The sequence below is a fragment of the Homo sapiens genome, chromosome 6, assembly GCF_000001405.40.
Source record: "Homo sapiens chromosome 6, GRCh38.p14 Primary Assembly".
Taxonomy (NCBI): Eukaryota; Metazoa; Chordata; class Mammalia; order Primates; family Hominidae; genus Homo; species Homo sapiens.
In genome coordinates, this window is record NC_000006.12 from 154,523,356 (window position 1) to 154,531,228 (window position 7,873).

The 7,873-nt window shown below is 41.7% G+C and overlaps 1 annotated feature.

The window, feature by feature from the left end:
• Positions 2,330–2,858: an enhancer, noted in NCBI's record as "NANOG hESC enhancer chr6:154846819-154847347 (GRCh37/hg19 assembly coordinates)". NCBI's record gives its function as "activates a minimal SCP1, AML or CMV promoter by ChIP-STARR-seq in naive H9 embryonic stem cells {active_cell/tissue: H9 hESC(naive)}" and the evidence as "EXISTENCE:reporter gene assay evidence [ECO:0000049][PMID:30033119]".

A 7,873-nucleotide genomic window follows, 5' to 3' on the forward strand; every position in this document is an offset into this window, starting at 1 on the left:
TCAGTGAAATCAGAAATAGGTAAACATTTCAGAAGCAAAGTTAGTACCAGGTCTGTATGGGTGGCTTGAGCTAAAAGCAGATTGGTTTCCATGTCCTAAAGAAAGCAATCCCAGAAATTAAAAAGAGAAAAAGAGAATGAACAGAGAAAATAATAGCGCATGAATAAATCAGGGACATAAAAACTGACTTAATAATGGGATTCCACCTTTAATAGAAAAAATGACGATTGAATGTTTTATGAATTACTGATACCTGGGACAATGAAAATAAGAATTGTCTGACACTCTTCTGTTTAAGAGGCAACAGCAGGCAGGAGCTTGTGAGATGTGTCGTCACTGGCCTGGGTCTGGTCAGGTGACATCCACTTTTCTCCCTTGTCCAGTGGTTTTAAAAAATAAATGCAGAGAAACATGGCGTGCCAGGTATAGACAGCTTACAAAGAATATTGGGAGAAAGGAAAATCATGGTAAGAACAAAATAAGATGATGAAGTGGAGCATCATAAGTAATCTCGACCCTTCCACCTGTGTTAGTTCATTTTGCATTGCTATAAAGGAATAGTCAAGACTGGGTAATTTATAAAGGATAACAGGTTTATTTGTCTCACAGATCTGCAGGTTGTACAAGCATTTCACCAGCATCGGCTCAGCTTCTGGTGAAGCCTCAGGAAGCTTTTAGTCATGGCAGGATGGCCAGGAAGCCAGCGTGTGACATGGGGAGAGAGGAAGCAAGAGGAGAGAGAGGAGGAGGAGGTGCCAGGCTTTTTTAAACAACCAGCACTCAGTTGAACTAACCGAGTGAGAATTCACTCGTGACCATGGGGAAGGCACCAAGCCATTCATGAGGGACCTGTCCCCATGACCAAAACACCTCCCACCAAGTTCCACCTCCAACATTGGGGATCACATTTCAACATGAGATTTGGAGGGGAGAAATAGCCAAACCATAGCACCACCTCATCCCCCTTCCCACCCCATGGGTGCTGCAGTTCCCTGCTCTGTTACTGTTAACCTCTTCAATAGGCATCACTCATGCACACATGCGCCAGGCCCCGTGTTGTCTGGGGGACACAGTGGTGCGCCAAACAGGCAAGAATTGCTGTCCTCATGGATATCCCCCCTCTTCATGTACTGCATTTATTGTCTGCCTCTACCACCTTAAAAAGCAAGGTCCAGGAGTTGTTTTATATATATACATATGTGTCTGTGTATATAAGTATATATACATATATGTGTATATGTGTGTATATGTGTATATACATATATGTGTATATGTGTACATACATATATGTATGTATATGCATATATGTATATACACACGTGTATATATACATACATGTGTATATACACGTGTGTATATACATGTGCGTATATACATATGTGTGTATGTGTGTATCTACATATGTGTGTATGCATATATACACATATGTGTGTTTATACACATACATATAGATATATGTGTGTATATACACATATACATATAGATATATGTGTGTATATACACATATACATATAGATATATGTGTGTATATACACATATACACATACAGATATATGTGTATATACACATATACACATACAGATATATGTGTGCATATACACATATACACATACAGATATATGTGTGTATATACACATACAGATATATGTGTGTATATACACATACAGATATATGTGTGTATATACACATACAGATATATGTGTGTATATACACAGATATATGTGTGTATATACACATACAGATATATGTGTGTATATACACATACAGATATATGTGTGTATATACACATACAGATATATGTGTGTATATACACATACAGATATATGTGTGTATATACACATACATATAGATATATGTGTATATATACACATACATATAGATATATGTGTATATATACACATACATATAGATATATGTGTATACACATACATATAGATATATGTGTATATACACACATACATAGATATATGTGTATATGTGTATATATACATATAGATATATGTATGTGTATATATACATATAGATATATGTATGTGTATATATACATATAGATATATGTATGTGTATATATACATATATATACATATAGATATATGTGTATATATACACATGTGTATATATACACATACATATAGATATATGTGTATATATACACATGTGTATATATACATATGTGTGTATACACATGTGTATATATACATATATGTGTGTATATATATGTGTATATATACATGTGTGTATGTGTATATATACGTGTGTATGTGTATGTATACATGTGTGTGTATATATACACATACATATGGATATATGTGTATATATACACATACATTGGATATATGTGTATATATACACACACATAAAATTAATATTGAGTTTATACATATAACAACTCATTAATTTTTCTCACATTAAACAAATATCTTCTAATGAAATTTTAAAATGACAGGGGAAAGCCTTTGATACTGGTCCACGTGTTTGCCTTTCCTCAGAATAATCCTTCTCAAGGAGTGAGGAAGCTGGGGTATTTATACATCAATTCCCTGCAGTCTTTGATTGAGAGTTGCTTCCAAGGAATTGTTAATTTCCTGAATTAGAGCAACTGTTTTGGCCAGAGAAAGCCCTCAGGCAAAGAGTTGTAGCCGTTAGCAGTAGGTCATAGAGCCAGCTTGCTCTGAGATGGTGAGGGCTGAGAGGAAAGGATGGGGCAGAGTTTGCTACAGTTTATAATTATAGATGCTACATTACAGAATGCCTTATTCAGAGGCACACTAGTTGAAGGTGCCCATGGCCTTCCTCTGCCATGGCCCTCCCTACAGGGGAGCTAAGAGGACGTGACCACCTGGATCCCATGTAACCCCTTCTAGGCCATGCTTCAAGGAGCTGGAATCCCAAAATTCCTTCCTGTTAAGGGCTGAATTTTGTCCCCCAGCAGAAAATACACTGGAGTCCAACCCCTAGTAGCTCAGAATATGACCTCATTTGGAAATAGGGTCTTTACAGACATAATCAAGTTAAAATGAGACTGGGCATGGTGGCTCATGCCTGCAATCCTAATACTTTGGGAGGCCAAGGCAGAAGGATCACTTGAGCCCGGGAATTCAAGACCACCTTGGGCAACATAGCAAGACTCCAACTCTACAAAAAATAAAAAATAAATTAGCTGGGCATGGTGGTGCTCACCTGTGGTTCCAGCTACTCAGGAGGCTGAGGCGGGAGGCTAACTTGAGCCCAGGGAGTTAGAGACTGCAGTGAGCTGTGATCATACCACTGCACTCCAGCCTGGGTGAGAAAGCAAGACCTTGTCTCAAAAAAAAAAAAAAAAAAATTAATCTGGGGCACTGTGACTCATGTCTGTAATCCCAGCACTTTGGGAGGCCAAGGTAGGTGGATCACTTGAGCCTAGGAGTTCGAGACCAGCCTGGATGACATTGCAACTCTGTCTCTACAAAAAAATACAAAAAATTTTAGCCAGGCGTGGTGATGCACACCTGTGGTGAGGCTGAGGCAGGAGGCTCACTTGAGCCCAGGAGGTCAAGGCTGCAGTGAGCTGTGATTGAACCACTGCACTCCAACCTGGGTGAGAGAGTGAGATCCTGTCTCAAAAAAAAAAAAAAAGAAAAGAAAAGAAAGTTAAAATGAGCTCATTAGGGTGGGCCCTAATCCAATATGACCACAGTGTCCTCATAAAAAGGAGAAACTGGACATGGAGACAGGTGTGGGAAGATTGTGTGAAGAGACATGAGAGAAGATGGCCATCTACAAGCCAAGGAGGAAGTTCTCACAGCACTCAGAAGGAACCAACCCTGCTGGTATCTTGGTTTGGACTTCCACCTCCAGAACAGTGCAACAGTAAACTTCCGTGGTTTAAGCAGCCCAGCTTGTGGTACTTTGTCATGGCAGCCCCAGGAAACCTCAGAGGCAGGTAAGAGAAGAGCTCTTTGGAAATCTGTAAGTGTGTATTGGTTTCCTATCAGCAGCAATATCTGGTTTTCACTTTTTTTTTTTTTTATGGTAGCAGCTACTGGTGCTCAATGCCTAGATTTATCCATTAATTAGGCTTGCATACTAGTAATGTTCTAATTCTACTACTTTGCTTTTATTTATGCAATGGAATAATTTTATAAGATGATTCTTCCTCTCGTCTATTTGGTTACCAGTGCTGTGGTTCACACGGGAAAAGCAGGACAAGTGCTTGATGTTCCCCCTTATAAAGTTTTCATGATAATAAGTTGGGTCTTTAAGGTTTCTTACTTTTTATTTTTATTGTATCCATTTTCAAAGTCATGGTTTTAAACATATTTGATAGGTTTCAATCCATTGAAATTCTTATTCTTATAGAAGTTCAAATGTTCCCATCTTTGGCCAGTGAGAGCTTCAGACTGGCTTGCCAAGTCCTTTTGACATTGTGTCTATGCCATTTAGTCCTCAAAGCAATTATTTGATGTAGGTATTTTTATCTCTATTTTACAGGTGGGTTTACTGCAGTTAAGTGCTTTGCCCACAGCTACACAGTAAATGATGGAAATGGAATTAAAGTCTAGGCAATCTTTTTACAAAGCTTGACCTCTTCAACACTACGATAACTCACTATTGACAAGAATATGTCCAACTTTAGCTTTACAAGTCTTAACTGGGTCAGATAATATTACATATGTACTTGTATTGGTCTGGGTTCTGCAGAGAAACAGAATGAATAGGAGATAATATTTTTACATCTGTATATAATTTGTATGTGTGTGTGTGTCTGTGTGTATATATGTGTAGAGAGAGAGAGAGAAATTTACTATAAGGATTAACTTGTGTGATGAAGGCTTGTATTAGTCCATTCTCACTCTGCTAATAAAGACATACTCGAGACTGAGTAATTTATAAAGGAGAGAGGTTTAATTGACTCACAGTTCATCATGGCTGGGGAGGCCTCAGGAAACTTACAATCATGGCAGAAGGGAAAGCAAACAGGTCCTTCTTCACATGGTGGCAGCAAGGAGAAGTACCAACCAAAAGGGAGAAGCCCCTTAAAAAACCGTCAGATCTCATGAGAACTCATGCACTATCAGAAGAACAGCAATGAGGTAATTCCCCCATGATGCAACTGCCTTCCGCCAGGGCCCTCCTATGACACATGGGGATTATGGCAACCACAATTCAAGATATTTGGGTGGGGACACATCCAAACCGTATCAAAGCTGAATAGTCTAATCTCTGCAGCTGGCAAGCTGGACACCCAAGAAAGCCAGTGGTATAGTTCCAGTCTGAGTCCAAAGGCCTGACAACCAGGAACACTGATGGTGTAAGTTCCAATCTGAGAGGGGGAAAAGACCAATGTTCTAACCCAGGCAGTCAGGCAGTGAGAGCACATTCTTCCTTACCCTGCCTTTTATACTATTCAGGCCTTCAACCAATTGGATGAGGCCCATCCACACTGCAGGGTGGGGGTTGGAGGGCAATCTGCTTTACTCAGTCTGCAGATTCAAACACCAATTTCATCCAGAAATACTCTCACAGACACACCCAGAAATAATGTTTAACCAATATCTAGGACCTTGTTACTCAGTCAAATTGACACATAAAATTAACCATTGCAATATTCTTTTGTAATTAATGTTTAAGTGAACGTATTGCAGACTGTAGTACAGTCAGGCAACAAACATAGATTTTGCCACTGGCCAGAATCACTGTCAGAAGAAGTTTTATGGATGGTCATGGTTTGGTGTTGGCCATATACAGAGGCAAAGCAATGTGGCCTACGCAGTGTTGAAGTGTAGGTGACAGTTCAACAAAGTCAGTCTCCAGACATTCCCCCAGCACCATTAGATTTGAGCTGTTCATTTCACAGGAACCTAAATACTAAACTAGATTTAAACTATCATTCTGTTCTCCACATTGAAGATGGTCTATAACATAAGAACAATGAGCAAAGACAGAAAATCATAATAGCAATATTCAAACAGTCAAAGGCTGAATGAGGCCTGGCGCGGTGGCTCACGCCTGTAATCCTAGCACTTTGGGAGGCCAAGGCAGGGGAATCACGAGGTCAGGAGATCGAGACCATCCTGGCTAACACGGTGAAACCCCATCTCTACTAAAGATACAAAAACATTAGCCAGGCGCGGTGGCGGGCGCCTGTAGTCCCAGCACTTTGGGAGGCCAAGGTGGGCGGATCACGAGGTCAGGAGATCGAGACCATCCTGGCTAACATGGTGAAACCTCATCTCTACTAAAAATACAAAATAATTAGCTGGGCGTGGTGGCGGGCGCCTGTAGTCCCAGCACTTTGGGAGGCCGAGGCGGGCGGATCATGAGGTCAGGAGATCGAGACCATCCTGGTTAACATGGTGAAACCCCGTCTCTACTAAAAATACAAAAAACTGGCCAAGCGTGGTGGCGGGTGCCTGTAGTCCCAGCTACTCGGGAAGCTGAGGCAGGAGAATGGCATGAACCCGGGAGGTGGAGCTTGCAATGAGCCGAGATTGCATCATTGCACTCCAGCCTGGCGACAGAGCGAGAATCCATCTCAAAAAAAAAAGGGGGGGGCTGAATGAGAGCTGTTATGGGTTGAATTGTGTCCCCCCAAAAGATACGTTGAAGTCCTAAACCCCAGTATCTGTGAATGTGACCTTATTTGGGAACAGATTTGCAGATGTAATCGAACTAAAATGAGATAAGTAGGGTGGACCCCAATCCAATATGACTGGCATCCTTAGACAAGGAGACAGACACACACGGGGAAGATGGCCACGCGATATTGGAAGCAGCAATTGGAGTGACTCATCTGCAACTAAGGAACTCCAAGGATTGCTGGAACTCCAAGGAACACCTGGAGCCGGAAGAGGCCAGGAACAATTCTCCCCTGCAGGCTTCAGAGAGAGCATGACCCTGCAGACACTTTGATTTCAAACTTCCAGCCTCCAGAACTGTGAGACAGTACACTCCTGTCTTAAGCCACCCAGTACTTTGGTACTTTGTTACAGCAGGCCCAGGAAACTAAGACGGTACCTTTCATGGGTCATCATTTTTCCTATGAGAGGATCAAGAGCCAGTGAAGCTGGCCAGTGGCTCACACCTGTAATCCCAGCACTTTAGGAGGCCAAAGCAGGAGGACAGCTTGAGCCTAGTAGTTTGAGACCAATCTGGGCAATATAGTGAGACCCCACCTTTATAAAAATTTCTGAAAAATTAGCTGGGCGTGGTGATGCAGGCCTGTAGTCCCAGCTACTCAGGAGGCTGAGGTGGGAGGATCACTTGAGCCCAGGAGATCAAGGCTGCAATGAGCCATGACTGCACCACTGCACTCCAGCCTGGGTGACAGAGCAAGACCCTGTCTCAAACACAAAAACAAACAAAAAGAGCCAGTGAAGTAAAAAGATTTGCCAAAGTCCTCACAGTACAGCCAACACTTGAATCCAGACCTGACTCTTATTCCAGTTTTCCGTAAACAATAACATATTGATTGCCTCTTGATCCAAGCATAAAAATTAATTCTTTTACTCTCTTTACAAATATCCATTAAACACCCACCAGTTGGCAGCCACTAATATAGACAAAGAGATACACTGGTCTGGAAAAAGTTTTTTTCCTTCATGGGACTTAGAATCTACTGAGGAATGGCCAGGCACAGTGGCTCACACCTGTAATCCCAGCACTTTGGGAGGCCGAGGCAAACGGATCACCTGAGGTCAGGAGTTTGAGACCAGCCTGGCCAAAATGGCGAAAGCTCGTCTCTACAAAACATACAAAAATTAGCCAGGTGTGGTGGCAGGTGCCTGTAATCCCAACTATTCGAGAGGCTGAGGCAGAAGAATTACTTGAACCCGGGAGGCGGAGGTTGCAGTGAGCTGAGATCACACCACTACACTCCATCCTGGGTGACAGA